This window comes from Homo sapiens, chromosome 17, assembly GCF_000001405.40.
Source record: "Homo sapiens chromosome 17, GRCh38.p14 Primary Assembly".
Lineage (NCBI taxonomy): Eukaryota > Metazoa > Chordata > Mammalia > Primates > Hominidae > Homo > Homo sapiens.
This window is the reverse complement of record NC_000017.11, coordinates 79,190,013-79,206,612: the sequence shown is the minus strand read 5'-3', so window position 1 is coordinate 79,206,612 and position 16,600 is coordinate 79,190,013. Positions and strand designations below refer to the sequence as shown.

General features: G+C 53.2%; 1 protein-coding gene across 58 annotated transcripts in view, besides 2 other annotated features; it reads left to right on the top strand.

Moving 5' to 3' along the window:
- The window catches only part of RBFOX3 (RNA binding fox-1 homolog 3), a 576,227-nt gene that overhangs the window by 458,959 nt on the left and 100,668 nt on the right, over positions 1 to 16,600 (top strand). The window lies entirely within an intron of this gene.
- Positions 3,312 to 4,130: an enhancer, noted in NCBI's record as "H3K4me1 hESC enhancer chr17:77198565-77199383 (GRCh37/hg19 assembly coordinates)". NCBI's record gives its function as "activates a minimal SCP1, AML or CMV promoter by ChIP-STARR-seq in primed H9 embryonic stem cells {active_cell/tissue: H9 hESC(primed)}" and the evidence as "EXISTENCE:reporter gene assay evidence [ECO:0000049][PMID:30033119]".
- Positions 13,145 to 13,802: an enhancer, noted in NCBI's record as "OCT4-NANOG-H3K27ac-H3K4me1 hESC enhancer chr17:77188893-77189550 (GRCh37/hg19 assembly coordinates)". NCBI's record gives its function as "activates a minimal SCP1, AML or CMV promoter by ChIP-STARR-seq in primed H9 embryonic stem cells {active_cell/tissue: H9 hESC(primed)}" and the evidence as "EXISTENCE:reporter gene assay evidence [ECO:0000049][PMID:30033119]".

Below are 16,600 nucleotides of genomic sequence, written 5' to 3'. Positions count from 1 at the left end.
CTGCAGCAAAGTCTGGAGTGAAAAGCAGGGCTTAGAGGAGACAAGGTGGACACAGGAGGCATCCGCTCCCGCCCACTTCTTGCACCCCTGTACTATGTCCAGCTCATCACAGAGTCTTCAAGATGACGGCCAGCCTCAACCATCTTGAGGAGTCAGTGCTGTGTCTCTCAATGAGACTTGCCGGAGACTCCTCACACAGCCTTATCCGCCACAGTGTACGTCGGGCACCACTGGGATGATGTCACTGCATCTTGGACCTGCTATAGAGCCCTCGTTTGCTCTGGGACCTACTCAAAACGGATAGCCTTTGGAAGTGTTAGGCTAGAGCTGTATTCCCAAGGGGAATATTTGCTGCCTCCAGCATCCAAAGAGGCCACCAAGTTCTGTGCCCCTCTCTTGGTGGAAGGAGTGCAATGATTTGCTTTTACATGATCTTCAAGGGGATGTTCCAGAAAGCCCCAGACTCTAAATATTTCATTGACGTGGCAAGCTGTAGACCTTCTTGCTAGGCTTTACCTCGCACCCTCTGACACACAGGTCTTCCTCAGGCATTAGCTGGACTTGCTCCTTCCTGCCCGTCTAGCTCAATGAGCCTGATTTCCTCAGTGTATCGGATGAGCATATTCTCTGGAATGTCACAACGGCCAAGGTCCCTGCAGACTATATTGTGGAAAAGAGCAAGAGAATGATTGCAGCCTTGCAGCAAGATAGGAAATGTGTATTGCTGTCCTTCCTATGTAAAAGCAAACTACTTTAAGGAAAAAAAAAAAAAAAGCCAACTGCTTTTGACTCTTTATGGACATGGACTGGAAAATACATTTTCCATATCAATCACCATATACCAAGTAATAGAGGCTCTGTCGAGCTATTCCAGTAAATACAACACTGCTGTGAATAATTGGAGGCTGCTGCTTGGTGAAGTTTCCAGTAATCCACCATCACCCACTCTGATTCATCTGGTTTTTGTAGGGTTCTGTTTTGTAGGTGAATTGAACAAGGATAGGATGGGGACCTCATCCTTGCTTCCTTTAAGTATTTGATAGTGGATATAATTTTTGCAAGTTCCCTGGGGTGTACTGTTTTTTCTGATTTCCTGTCTTAGCTGGGGGTTAGGGAGGTTTTATAGGCTCCCATTTGGCACTCCTACGTCAGGGAACTCATATTCAGGTTATGCTAGATGCTAAGTGTAGCCATCCAAATGCAGACTCAGAGACCAGAGAACAAACCACAGGATGGGTCCATGAGCCTGACAGACCTGCTGTAAGATGGATGTGGTTCAGGATGTCATATATCCCTGGGTTTCTGTGGACCCCCACTCTAACTGGCAGAAATGATGGTGTTTTCATTTCACAGGTATCAGTGTCTGCTCTAACCATGTATCCTCCTGCCTGCAAAACTTCTGCTAGTCCCCTTCCCCAGGACACAGGTTCTCTGGCAAGTATCCACAGGTCCATCTGGGGAAGGATGGGGATGCTATCATTATAAATATTGCAGTGCATTCCTAAGCCCTACCTGGTCTTCCTTCCACCAGTGGGCTCTGACTGGAGAACTGCCTTAGACCTGGAACTGGATATGGTACTGCAGTTTCCCGTTGTGATGACTGAGGAGTTCTCTGCTCTCTAGCTCTTGATTTTTTCCTGGCTATATAAGCCAAGCAATACCCTACTTGGCCACCCATCCATTTCATCCCCAGGAACACCATGGCTTATTAGCTGCAGACTTCTGTAGTTCAAAGCACCCTGGTCATCTCCAAAGCCTGGCTGACCACGGTGGTATTTAATTCCAACTTGCCTCTGATGGTTAAATGCAACTATCTGGCCCCTGCTATTCTAGAATCTTCTCATCCTCACTGATACTAAGGAGCCCAGTTAGTGGCAGCATCTCCTAATGGCAACCCTAAGTGAAGGCACTCACCACGAAGCTTTCCAAATGCCTCAGCGGTCCCCCACCCCAGAATTGCATTTTTTATTGCCTTAGTGGAGGGAATGTCCCCCATACCCTTCTGGGACACAGAGTCATCTAGTGGGTTCTCTGTTCACAGCATCTGGGGCCTTCGGACCCCTTCTTTAATACTCCACCAAAGTAGTTCCAGCGCGTCGACCTCGTTGACTGAATGCTGTCGGTATGTGTGCGCTTCAAGGAGCTGTTCACTGGACTGGTACGCGTGTCCTTTCCAGGATATTAAGCCCTGAGTCATGAGAAGTTACTTTCACGTCAGTAATCTCTCCTCTGTTCAGACTTACATTCTGCCCCAACCCCACCTACGCCCCCTGCTCCCCGGCACCCGCTGGTGTGTACCCGCTCCCCGGCGCCCGCTGGTGTGTGTCCGCTCCCCGGCGTCCACTGGTGTGTATCCACTGGGTCTTGGAGCTTTTTGGGTGTGTGGCTGTTTTCTTCCTGAGCTGGGGCTGTTGCCCCCTTGGCCTGTGCTGAACCCCAACTCTAGCTATTGCTGTCATGGCAGTAGGGGAAGTAGGGGCAGCTCTCAGTGGGGGACAAGTGTTATCTCATGAGAAAATTTCTCAGTTGAGGTCTTTGCTGGTTCTCCAGGTGAGAAAAGTCTGCTTTCTCTTAGCAAAGATGGAAGGGGCCACTTCCACCAGCCCAGAGCGTTCAGGGAATTTAGGGGTGCAAAGTTCTCAGGCTCATCCACACAAACGTTCTCATCCCAGGGTCTCACTCTTTCCTACGGTGCTTGGACTTCGTCAGGGGAGAAGTGCCATGTCCGTGGGTTCAGGCTCCTTGGTGACTCTGATTGGTGTCAATTGTAATTGGTACAATTGGTATACAATTGGTACACCAAAAACTAATTGGTGACAATTACTTCCTGGGCTTTAGGAGACAAAGGTCTAGTTACATATTTCCATGAAGGCCAGGGGCCCTGTGTTGACAGTCAGCTAGCTTGAGACAGTTGTTTTCCTTTTTCAAAGCTTCTAAGTCCATTAATAAATCCAACCACCCCCACAGTCCTTACACGCCCCTTCACCCTCCACCCACCCCCACAGTCCTTACACACCCCTTCACCCTCCACCCACCCCCACAGTCCTTACACGCCCCTTCACCCTCCACCCACCCCCACAGTCCTTACACGCCCCTTCACCCTCCAACCACCCCCACAGTCCTTACACGCCCCTTCGCCCTCCACCCACCCCCACAGTCCTTACACGCCCCTTCGCCCTCCACCCACCCCCACAGTCCTTACACGCCCCTTCGCCCTCCACCCACCCCCACAGTCCTTACACGCCCCTTCGCCCTCCACCCACCCCCACAGTCCTTACACGCCCCTTCACCCTCAAACCACTGCCACAGGAACAGCATAGCCAGATGCTTCACCTCCACCTGCCCCTCTTCCCCATCCTCTGCCAGTGAGGGTCTATGTAATCACAGTGCCCCCACAGGCCAGGGGTTGTCACAGCCCCATCTGTCACCAGCAGCGTGGTCCTTAGCAATGTCTGGCCCCACTCCAGAATCCTATCCCGAGGGGCCACTTTCTAGGCATCTTAGGAACAAACTGCCTTAGCTTGGGAGCCCCCAAAATCCAGGCCCCGAGAGAAGTGCTCGCATGCAGGTAGCATATTTTGGGAAGTGCACAGGAGGGAGGGGCACTGGGGAGAGTAAAATAGGGAAAGGAGAAGGAATCCAAGGGTGCGTTACTGAGCTGAGACCACTGTGGGCGCTGGGGGCTTAGCCCCTCGGGGCTCCATGTATGGCTTATTCACCAGGTCCTCTCCCCGTCCAGCCAAGGACTGCCCCACACAGTGGTATTAAGGCCTTTTCACCACCAGGCATGATAGTGCATCTGCATGGCTGAGTGTGCTCTGCAGGAGTCCCACGTGGCAGTAACAGAAGAGCCCCAGGGCGGGCAGTGCTGTGCAGCGTGTTAGGGCGAGGGGCTGTTGGATCACAGCTGTGCGCTCTGACACGCACAGCCAAGGCTGGAATAAAAGAGCAGGAGGGAGGTGGGACTGGGGTGGTGTCTGCTGTGTGGGCTCAAGCCAGGCGATCTGGGGCAAGCCCCTGGCCTGGGCCTCGCTCTTCCCGGATGTAACACTGACATAGTCATAACCGTCCCATGGGGTTGTTGTAAGAATTCGTGAGATGGTGTTGGTGAAATTTTCGTAAGCTGTATGGCTCTGCGCTTATATAAGGGATTGCTCCCAGCACCCCTAGCAGTGGCAGACTCTACCAGGATACAGAGGAGTGAGTGGTCTGCCGTGAGCACAGAGGGGGCTTTCAGGGGCTGGGGAAACAGAGTCATCTGTTATTATACGTGAGCGTGGTACCCGACACAGCCCCAGAGTTACCCAGGGCTGCCTCTCCTGCCAATCCCACTCTGTTTCCAGGCTCCTCCCGTTTTGCTGTGGATAAGAGGCCCCTGTAGATGATACAGCGGGACAGAGCACAGTCCAGCTCAGATGCAGGGATCACACCACACCCCGGGGTGTCTTCCTCCAGAGCCCTCCTTTCCTGGGCCCTCCCTACTCTACCCCCCATGCCGGGGAAGCCTGTCAGTGCACCCAGGGGACCGAGGTCATTCTCCTGGTAATGACTGCTGAGATTCCAGAGATATGTGTCAGCACCCCAGGACTGTGACAGCTGTGAGTGAAGCCGGCAGGAGGAGGAGGATGAGACAGTAACTGTAGAGAGAAGGTGGTGTCAGCATGAAGCTGAGCATTTGGGTTCTCCTGCAGGGGCGGAGACGCAGAGAGAGGAGGCCTGAAAGTAGAAGGCAACTTTTCAAGAAGTTTGCCCAAGTCTGCCCCAGGCTCTTCGTCAATCTCCCCCAGCCTCCAGCGGAGTCAGGGAAGTGTGGAGGAGAGAAAGCACGTGGGAAGGGGTGAAGACAGAGAAGGCAGGGGGTGCTGTGTGTGAGCTTGGCACTGGGCGGGCATGGGGGCCATGGGCCACCTCCGCCACCTCCGAGGGGCAAGAGTGTTATGATTGCAGAAGATGTGATACACCTGTCAGAAGCACTTTCCGTGTTCCAGAAAATACAAAGAGAGAGAAGAGAGATCGTGAACAGTCCCCTCCTGAGAGGATGGACAGAAATCATGAATGCCCCAGGGTTAGGAGGAAAATGCTGGAAGAAAGGAAGGTTCAGGACCAGGAACTGCAGCCCAGGCAGACTTGAGAAGCCCAGGAGGGCTCCCTAGCCCTGGAAAGCCCTCCCTGAGCTCACAGCAGGCCACCTGCTTCTCGGTATTCTGGCAGACAGTCTGCCACTGCCGGGGTTCTGGGAGCAAAACATCCTCTGGTTTCCCTCCCTCCCCTCTCCCACCCAGGTCATCCCCCACATTCCCTTTTTAAAGTATTCAGAATTCCCTCTCTCAGCCCATTACTTTCTGAGCCAATAAGAGTAGATCTATTCCAACCTGGAGACCAGGAGAGAGCAGCCCAGTGGGCGGACGGACTCTGTGTGTCAGGGCAATGCTGAGGCCTCTGGTGTGGATCTGGTTACAGCTCCATCGGATCCGGATGATCTGATGCACCTCTTGTTGTTGTTGTTGTCGTTGTTGTTGTTAAGAAGTGATGGCTAAAAGGACACACAAGGAGAGGGTGGGAAGAGAGGAGAGAAGGAGTCGTGGGGAGAACACAGACGTGTGGGAATGGCTGAGGAAGGAGCTGAGGGCAGTGAAGGGCTGGGAGGGACAGGCTCATATTGAGGGAATTGGGACTGGCCAGGCCCAGCTGCCCGCCGCACACAGAGACGAGGACGCAGGAGGGGGTGAAAGGCTGGGTGGATTTCTTCTGTCTTGGCTTCCCAGATATGGCCTAAGGAGGGGACTTGTCACTACATCAGGTAGGGGGGACCAGGGGTCCAGGTGCATCCCCCATCAGTTTTGTGGATTTTTCCCCTCCCCAGCAAAGCTGTACCCTCCATGCAAAGTTCTCGTTTGCTTTTATTATTGAGTTCACGTCAGGGTTCCTGGCAGCCCAGCAGAGCTCTCCTGGCGTCTCAACTCCCCAGAGACGTGACCTGAGACACCTCATGTCCCAACCCACCAAGGCCCTCCCTGAACAGCTCTCCTCTGGCGCTGCAAGGAGCCAGGTGGTGTGGGGTCCCTGGCTTCTGCTCGGCCACCGCTGTCCCTCCGGCGGCACCTCTGCCCCTCTTGGCTCTGTGCTGAGGCCACTCCTGTCTTGTGACTCTGTCTGTGGGGCTGGTTTCTTCTTTTTCTTGTATTTGCTCTTAGACTAGGTGGGACACCTGAGTGACAGCTGGTGGCCCCCCTGCCTGCTGCCTGATCAAGAGGCTTTGGCTTTCCCTGGAGCCCCACCTTCTGACTCCCTGGGAGTGGCTGTGGTGAAGAGGGTTTGTCCAGCAGCTTGGGCACAGGCCACCTTGCTGATGATCTGTACACTCGGCTTTGGCCATCTGTCATCTCACTGGGCCTTGGGAAGTACTTAAGGAGGGTACTTTTCTCCCAATTTTTTTTTTTTTTTTTTTTTGAGACGGAGTCTCGCTCTGTCACCCAGGCTGAAGTACAGTGACGCAATATCGGCTCACTGCAACCTCTGCCTTCCGGGTTCAAGTGATTCTCCTGCCTCAGCCTCCCAAGTAGCTGGGATTACAGGCATGTGCCACCACACCTAGCTAATTTTTTTGTACTTTTGGTAGAGACGGAGTTTCACCATGTTGGCCAGGCTGGTCTTGAACTCCTGACTTCAGGTGATCCACCCACCTCGGCCTCCCAAAGTGCTGGGATTACAGGCGTGAGCCACCACGTCCGGCCCTTTTCTCCCCATTTTATAGATAAGGAAACTGAGATGTGGGAAGCTTTAGAGCGGTACTGTAGAATAGACACTCTCCTGACAGACTGGAGCATCAGGGTGGGTTTGTTCAGCGTGCTTCAGAAATCCTACAGCAGCAGCAATGTCATATCTGTGTCAATATGGTCACCAGGAGCCATGTGTGACTCTTGGAAATGAAGCTCATGCAACAAAGGGACTGAGCCTCACTTTTATTGGAGTTTAATTAAAGCTTTGGGGACTTCTTTGAGAGCATATCTAATTACTTCTTGAACTGGGACCAAACCAGTGTGTTCTAGGTCACCTGTTCCCACCACAGAGGTCACTGGCAGCCCTAAGTCAGTGACTGGGTTCAGGCCATCCAGATGGCTGGCCTTCTCCTCTTCCTCAAGTCCCACCTGGGCTGATTTCCCCCACTGAGAGACCCCCAAGATCTGCAACTCCTGCAGTAGGGCGGTGGGCAGAGGGTTGGAGGCTCCTGGGAATGCTCCCTCCTCTGAGTCTGACCCTCCCACCTGCTGGAAGAAGAAGGGCAGGATGAATGAGAGCCAGGAGGTGCCGTGCAGGTGTGAAGTCCACCGGAAGGGGCTGGTGGGTGGTGCTGCCGAGGGTGGGGGGCTAGGGAGGTCTTTTCGAAAGGCCCTTTACATTCTCAGAAGGCAGAGTGAGCCAGCCAGAGTCTGCCTTCCCATCCCCACCCTATGACCACAGCTGCACCCTTTGCTGGGCAGCTTTCACTCCATGGAGACAGCCCCCACTTGCTTCCCACTGTTTTCTGGGTCTCCTCCCTCTCTCCCTAAAAACCAGTTCTCAGTCAACAGCCTCACAACTGAGTTACAGGCAATGTTCAGCCTCACAAACTCAGCATCTTTGCAGGAGACAATTTGTATTTTAACCAGTGGGAAGCAGTAGAATATTAGGCATCAAAAAGCTCGGCCAGGTGCAGTGGCTCACACCTGTAATCCCAGCACTTTGGGAGGCCGAGGCGAGTGGATCACCTGAGGTCAGGAGTTCGAGATTAGCCTGGCCAACATGATGAAACGCCATCTCTACCAAAAGTACAAAAAAAATTAGCTGGGTGTGGTGGCACATGCCTATAATCCCAGCTACTTGGGAGGCTGAGGCAGGAGAATCGCTTGAACCCGGAAGGTGGAGGTTGCAACGAGCCTAGATCATGCCACTGCACTCCAGCTTGAGTGACAGAGCAAGACTCCATCTTAAAAAAAAAAAAAGAGAGAGAGAAAGTTCAAAAGCAGGGAGGCTTCTCACATCTCTAAAAGTCCTATCAGAGTGACGAGTGGCATGGGCAATACATCCTGGAAAGTCTGTGAACTTCTCCAAGCCTCAGTCTCCAGCTGTACCCATCTGTCCCACAGGCTTGAGTGAGGCATACTGAGGTGACATTTGTGAACTTTCTCCATGAGCTGGCAGGCGGGACACAGATGCCAGCGTTCCACTGTCACCTTAGCACTGAGTCCCGTGAGAGCTGGAAAGACATCCCCTGAGTCACCATCGCCAGGTGCAGGCTCTCCTTCCTGTCCGCACCTGTGCCTGCAAGGTCGCCTCATGTGGGATGGAGAGGTGCAGGGCAGGGGCGAGGGCAGAGGGCTGGCCAGAGGCGGTTGTCACCCATGATTTCCCCTTCTGGTCTGGTCCAGTGTTGAGGATGGTCCAGCGATGCAACCGTAGCACTTCCGGGATGACAGCCCACCCCACACGATGCAACCGTAGCACTTCCGGGATGACAGCCCACCCCACACGATGCAACCGTAGCACTTCCGGGATGACAAGCCCACCCCACACGACTCTCCTGACGCAGACAGAGGCACTCGGGATGGATTCACTCGGCATGCTTAGGAAATCAGAAGCACGCGCCGCAGTCACAGATAGATGTTGTCTTGGTTGCCTGGTGCAGGGCAGACCCCCTTCCATGCCCGGAGTCGGGGGAGGTGAGGAAGGGCACAGAGACTCAGGCTTTTCTTTGGGTTTCCGGCTCCCTGCTTGCCCGTGGTTTGGGAGGTTAGATTGGTGTTTTCTCCGTCCCTCTCTGCTGTACAAAGGGGAATGGAGTGGCATTAGGAGGAACTGCCCAGCTAGACACAAGCCCCGACCATCTGCAGCCCTGGCTGCGTGGACGATGTGTCTGTAGAAAGAAATATCTGTTTTCTGGGCTTGGGAGGTGGCTCATGCCTGTAATCCCAGCACTTTGGGAGGCCGAGGTGGGCGGATCACTTGAGGTCAGGAGTTTGAGACCAGCCTGGCCAACATGGTGAGGCCCCGTCTCTACTAAAAATACAAAAAAAAAAATTGGCAGGATGTTGTGGCACATGCCTGTAATCCCAGCTACTCGGGAGGCTGAGGCAGGAGAATCGCTCGAACCTGGGAGGCAGAGGTTGCGGTGAGCCGAGATCATGCCACTGCACTCCAGCCTGGGCGACAGAGTGAGACTCTGTCTCAAAAAAAAAAAAAAAAAAGAAAGAAAGAAAGAAAAGAAATATCTGTTTCCTGGTTTGTCCCAGAGAAAAGAGTGCAGTGAATGGCAGTGTGGAGGGGAGGCAGAGAGTGACAGAGAGATGCACACACAAAGAAAGATGTAGCGGGAGACACAGAGAAGAGACAGACAGAAAACAGCATGTGGACAGCCCCGACGGAGGGCTGCATGTGAGGATGCCTCTTATGTCTGCACCTGGCTTTCTGGGGAGAATCACAGCTCACAGGAACTGGTGCACCTCCTTCCATTTTACCCACGCGTGCCCAGCCACCCACATGGGCACAGCCTTAAAACAACACGCAAGGAGCTGCCACCATTCCTCCCGGGCAGATACCAAGCAGCCCCAGTGCCTACTACTTCCCTGTTAGCAGGCGTCAGTCCACCCGGGGTGCTGGAGGGCAGTGCAGAGAGGTGGTCTGTGGCTGGTTTCCACTTGGTGGGCCCCAGTACACTTCCACGGCACACCCCTCACCACACCGATGTGAGTTCTGAGAATGCAAACCAGTTTGAGCATAATCCAGAACAAACAGTAATTAGGAAGGTAAACCCGATGTGAAAATAAGCATAATGCATTCCTAATTCAAATAAGAATTATCTGTAGACTCTCTGCTCTTTCTGAATTATCAGTGGAACGTTCCACTCCATTGGCATAGATAATTGAGAGTTAACTGTACTTTCTGTACCAAGGCCTAGGAGATGAGCAGGGCAAGTGCAGTCCATCCGGGTGAAGAGAGGAAATTTCATCAGCAGTCTCATCTGGGCACTGCAGAGAGAAGGGACCTAGAACAAAACCAGGCACTTGGGGAAACTCAATAAGTATTTGTTGAATTAATTACCATGATTTATTGAACATCTACTATGTGCCAGCTGGTTTGTATATGACATGTTTTTGAATCCTCACAAGGTATTGTGGGAATGCGATACTGAGAGAGGTACTGCCGTCCCATTCTGATAGACGCAGACACCAACACTGGAGATGTTTAGTTGCTCGCTCAGAGTCCCACGGGTGGTCGGGGCAGAGATGGGCTGGACTCCGGGTCTGTGACTCCCAGGCTGGAGCGGGCCCCACTTTCTGCTGGAGGAGGGTGTGAGAAACAGCTGTGGCTGGGTGTGTGGTAGAAGGTAGGAGATGCGGGACTACAGTCTTCTTAGGAGCTCAAGATGATCCAAGCTCCACTCTGCTGCTGTTTCTCCAGTAGAAGGGGGCAGTGACTCCGACCCCGCATCCCGGCCTCCACTTCCCATCTTGGGACACTCCTCTACCCTGGGTTTCAGCTTCTCCATCCAACGAGATGGGAAGAATAATATTCACCCTCCCACTTCCTTCCCTCTGCCTTCAGAGGAGGCTGGGGTGGAGCATGAGGCTGAGGGTGCTCTGGGTGCCTGAGATCCAATTTGTCCAGGGTGTTCTGATGATGATAATTATCGCCATGCCCAGTTTCACTGGAATGGCATTTCCGAGGCCTCTCCTTCTACCTCGGAGAGAAAAATCAATAAGCTCACCCAGCAGCCAAATGCAAGCGAGTGCAGCCGCACGGGAGCTGGCCACTAGGACACTTTCTCCTAGCACAGGTCACAGGTTAGGAAGCAGAAGTATTTGCCTGTGAGCTCATCCCCAAACCCCAAAACAGAGTGCTGGTTTCCTGGTGCTGTCCGGTCGTAGGGGAGGGAGCACAGAAGGAAAGCCACCCCCGCCACCCCACCACTGGCCTCAGCAGACACTGTGTGCCTGCACAGCTGCAATGGTAGGACAAAATAAGGAGGCCCCAGTCTCAGATATCAGGATAGAGCAGACAGAAACCAAGAAACGTAGACTGAAATGGAGCAGACCCTTTTGCTGGGTGTCTGTGTTTTGGGATGGGGAGATCAGGGCAGGCTTCCTGCCCACACAGACTTGCGTGCGGCCTTACTCTAAGAAGAGACCCAGTTGGCTTTGCATTTTGCATTTCTTCTTCTTCTTTTTTTTTTTCAAGATGGAGTCTCACTCTGTCACCCAAGCTGGAGTGCAGTGGTGCAATGTCAACTCACTGCAACCTCTGCCTCCTGGGTTCAAGTGATTGTCGTGTCTCAGCCTCCTGAGTAGCTGGGACTGTACGCACGAGAGCCACCACCATGTCCGGCTTATTTTTTGTATTTTTAGTAGAAACAGGGTTTCACCATGTTGACCAGGCTGGTCTCGAACTCCTGACCTCAGGTGATCCACCTGCCTCAGCCTCCCAAAGTGCCGGGATTACAGGCATCAGCCACGGCACCCGGCCTGCACTTCTTCTTGAGAGGCTACCCGTGGCCAGGCACCGCGCAGGCAATGGGGATGATAGTGAGCTGATGTCGGTGGGGCTGAGCGGAAAGACATCTGCCCATGTTCTAGACCAGAGCTGCCCAATAGAAGCATAATGCAGGCCACACATGGAAATGCTTAATTCTTCAGCACCCACATTGAGAAAGTAAAACAAACAAAACTGGGGGCACTCAATTATACGCTTTATGTAACCCAATATACCTGAATATGATCATTTTGACATGTAATCTAGATACAAACTATTTTTTCACTCTTTTTATGGTCCCAAGTCATCAAAATCCCATGTGCATTTCACACACACACACACACACACACACACCCACACACACAGGGAGTGTCTCAATTAGAACCGGCCGTGTTTTAGCTCTGAATGCCCACATGTGGCCCGTGGCCCCTGCACTCAACAGCACCAGGTCTACACAAAACTCTTGAAGAACCAGGAAGCAGTTTTTTTTTTTCTTTTGAGACAGACTCTCACTTTGTCACCCAGGCTAGAGTACAGTGGCTGGTGCAATCTCAGCTCACTGCAACCTCCGCCTCCCAGGTTCAAGCAATTCTCCTGCCTCAGCCTCCCCGGTAGCTGGGACTACAGGCATGCCCACCATGCCTGGCTAATTTTTGTATTTTTAGTAGAGACAGGGTTTCACCATGTTGGCCAGGCTGGTCTTGAACTCCTGACCTCAAGTGATCCACCCGCCTCAGCCTCCCAAAGTGCTGGGATTACAGGTGTGAGCCACCGCACCTGGCTTCCAGGAGGCAGTTTGTACCTAGATTCCTGGCAGAACCCCCTTGCTCGGAATCTGGGCTCCCTTATCACAGACTCCTGCTCCACCTCTCAGCCACTAAGGCCCTAAAGAGCTGCAGAGGAGATCAGAGGCAAAGTCCATTTCTACCACAGCAGCTGTGGGAGCGAGGACAGCGCCATGTGAAAGGAGAGCAACATTGGTGTCTTCATGATAAAATCATCTCTGTTTTTTTACCAAAATTTTTTTCCAAGGAAAATGAACCCACAGGGCAGGGAGAACATCAGGGTTTCGGTGCTGCCTTCTGTCAGGCTCGAGCTGCACCACAGTGGGCCTTCCCTCTGCTGGTGATGCCCTGGCCTTCCTCCCTTCATGCTCTCCCACTCCCACCTCCTCCACCATCAGGCCTGCTCCCCTAGCCCGGAACACCTACCTCCCCCAGTGGTTTCCAGCCACCTTCCTGTGGGCCAGCATAAGTGATTCTCCTTCTAAATTGCCTCCCAATAGGCAGTGAGCAGACCACTTTTTCCTGTAGAGAAGAACTTGGCCTACTCAAGGCTCCATTGACCCTCTCCACAGCATTTACTCTCAAAAACACAATTCCAATACAGTAAAGATTCTAGTCTTCCCAGTGTGGATTTCCAATTACCCACACTCAGCCAAGTGGCAGCCACTTCATTATAATTCTGTAATTGCCATATAGAATTCCCATAAATTTGCTGTTAATTTTTAACCACTGCATCCTTCTCTTAGAAAGTGTAGCAATAATTTGAAAATCCATAGACAATATTTTTAAGTGGATAGAGGCAGAGCAGGGGGAATAAATCCAATGGGGCTGGGTTTAGAGAAAATCCTAATAAAACAGCAGTAGGGGGTTGGCGGGGGGAGGTGAGTATGGGGCTTCCTCCAACTTCAATGCAAACATTTCTTCCTAATATATGGTGTGTTGGTGGCAGCAAGGATTGATCAGAGTCTGATCCGGGAAGATCCTGCTCTTAAATGAGAATGGCTGTGTGCACCAGGTTCTCTGTTAATAGGCACATTCCCTGCCCCCACTGGGAGGTAATTTACAAGCCCGGCTTCCGAGCGTAATCTCCCCACATTGTGCTGCTCCCCGGTGCCTCCCAAATTGCAACACGGACCAGGTCTATAAAAGGTGCTTTGGAGGAAACGGCAGCCATGCCGGCATGCCTGCCCCTGCCCCCACCGAGCAAGTGAACACCCAGGTGCTCAGCAGAGGAATTAGCCTGCCTTTCAGGAGATGCTAATGAGGCAAGTTGGAAGCGGATGAGGTTCAGCCAGGAAGGAAACTGTTGGCCCCACAGAAGCCCTGGGCACCAGGGGCTGGCACAGAGGCCAGACAGATAGTCCTCACAGCAGCCTGCTTCCCTCTGGGGGTCAGGGATGGCAAAAGCTGGATCTCCTAAAGGGAGACAGAGCCAGTGAGAGTGTGCAGGGCCCCAAAGGGAGCAGCAGGCTAACTCAACAGGCGAGGATGTTTTGGTAAAAGGTGGCCATCAGCAGGGCTAGCCGCTGGCCACCCCTGCAAAACAGAGAGTTCACTGACACCCGTGCTTGTTTGGGCCCAGGGAGACAGAGGTGTAGGCAGCCACGGCGGCTCCAGGGTCTGGCTGGAGCTGTCCCTGGTGCTGACGGTCTCACTCTCGTGCCCGGTCCTTCCAGCTCTCGTTCCGTGCTGCCAGGAGGGTTTCAGCCATGGACATCCACATCCAGCCCCCGTGTCCACCCCTAGAAAAAGGAGCTATTGCCTCCAAGCTGGGAGGGTTATCAGGCAGCAGCAGCAATAAGAAATTGGGCCACAGAGCGATTTGAAGGTCCTGGTGTTTGATCTATTGCGGGGCTGGCTCCTTGCAGCTTTGCTGCTCCCGAGTTTGGTGACCTGAGAGAATTAAAGCTGCCTTAAATACAGTCTCTGTTGGCTGTATATTAATCAAGCAGGAATCAAAAGTCACAGCATCCTAGGGAAGTAAGAGCAGGAACAGACGGCTCCCCCCCATCCTGATGCAGCAACTCTCAGTGGGAGGAAAGGCCGGGAGCGGCTAAGAGCAGCATAGGGCCCTCAGCTGGCTGCCAACTTCCCACACCTCCTTGCCAGTGAATTCTCAGAAACCTCATGCCTTGGAACTGGAGAGTTGTGTTGGGGCCAAAACATCGCTGGACCCCAATGCTAGAGTGGATCAGGAAAGGGGAGGGATTTTCCTCCCAGGATCAAGAGGGAGGAGACGGTAGGGGGTTGGCAGGGGTGGCAGCCTCAGAATAGCTTCACACCTAACTCAAGACAAGCTTCCACACCCCCACCAGATAGGCACTTCCCCTGCTCTTGGGCAACTTTTAGGGACTAAAACACATCAGCATCCACTGCCCCATCTCTGCTCACCGGGCAGCAATTCACACAACTTCCCTGGTGTATCTTAGGCTGCCGGGAGGGAAGAGGCTGCCCAGGGTCCTGCCTAACCCTGCCTTCTCCTTGCTCTCAAAGCCTGAGAAAGGAACTCTTATCTGGCCTCTGTCATTGTGGAGGTGTGGGGAGGTGAGTCTGTAGGTTACCGTCTGCATCTGTTCCTTTGCTTCCTGGCAGATATGCTCGTCCCCACTCCCTTGAGTCCTGGGACAAGCTCAGCTCCCATGAGGCTTCGTTAGAAGGACCTTGCACCCCTACCTCCCGCCGCCGGCCGCCTCGTCACTCCATGGCCCGGCCCCTGTCTGCAGCTTGGCACTGGCTGCCTAGCAGTGCATCGGCCTCCCCAGGGCCACGCACTCTGCCAGGACAGTAATGCCTCTCCGGGCCTTTGTGTGCCTTGGGCTCCTAATGAGCTTTTAATGAGCTGACGCTTTGGCTTTAGGGGGCATGCAGGGGCAGGGGACGAACAGAGTGCCCGCCCCTCACATTCTGTTTCCCGAGGCCTTGCGGTTGCTTTTTAACTCACTGAGTGCTGGGGCTGGGGCTACAGGCAGCTGCTTTTTCCAGAGTCTTTCAGGTTTGGTCAGAGTTTGAAGGTCCTAACTTCCCAGTCCTGGGGTGCGGGGTACCCCCGGGCCACCATTCCCTCTCTACAGTGCTGCACGTGCTCTCCATGTGGCCTCTCCTTGCCCAGTGCTGGAGGAAGGGATATTGGTTTCTCTGTTAAGTAAGATTTTCTAAAAATTGATGGCAAATGGGAGCACCCAGCCACTTCACTGCTGGAGGTGGACCCTTGCTGCCTCTACCCAGGGGTCAGCTCAGACCCACCCGCTGTTGATGGAAGAACAAACCTTGACCTCTTCCCATGGGTCTCTACTCAGGAACCCTGAATGCTGTTTCCTCAGTTCAATTCTAACCAAACATGGTGCAAATTCATGCCGGCCGTAGCAATGGGAGCTACCCAAATTGTACCCACATTGTGTGTACAGTCTTCCCTTTTGGACACCCTGAGAGTGCAGGGCTCCTGTTCCCCATCGGTATGCAAGAGCTGTGCTCACTCAGCCCCCTCCCTTTATGCACGGCTTTGCTCTACAAGTTTTGGTCAGTGGCCCCAGTCCCTCCTGGGAGCTACAGGGAGCGGCAGTGGCTTCAGCTTCTGGTCTAAGCTCCCCCTTGTCACTCTTTCAAAGCCTTCACCCTTTGAATAAAATTAAGACGGAAAAGGTTTGTGTACCACGAGGCAGAGTTTCTTGGCACTCAGGGTGATAAAAACCTAACTGGGCTCCCCGGAGAGACAGCAGGGTCTCCCCCAGTGGAGAGCTTCAAGGGGAAAAAAAAGAGAGCACGTGTCTCTGAAGGCTTTGGTGTCTGCCAGCTAGAAGGCCGGGGACTGGGCGACGTGATGCCACTTCCCCTTCCAGCCCCATCACTCTTGTCCCTGAGGACTCCTTTCTTCTTCTTCACTCTGTTTTTTTGTTTTTTTTTTTTTTTTTGGTGAGACAGAGATTTACTCTTGTTGCCCAGGCTGGAGTGCAATGGCGCGATCACGGCTCACCGCATCCTCCGCCTCCCAGATTCAAGTGATTCTCCTGCCTCAGCCTCCCGAGTAGCTAGGATTAAAGGCATGTGTCACCACGCCTGGCTAATTTTGTATTTTTAGTAGAGATGGGGTTTCACCATGTTGCCCAGGCTGATCTCAAACTCCTGGCCTCAGGTGATCCACCCGCCTTGGCCTCCCAAAGTGCTGGGATTACAGGCGTGAGCCACTGCACCCGGCCTTCACTCTGTTATTTGATTGGGGGAAAGAGGTGACCTCAAACAGGAGGCTGGAGTTGACCCTGATGCTGAAGGAGAGCAAGTGGGGGTACCAAGAGTGATGTTAGCGGTGCATGCCT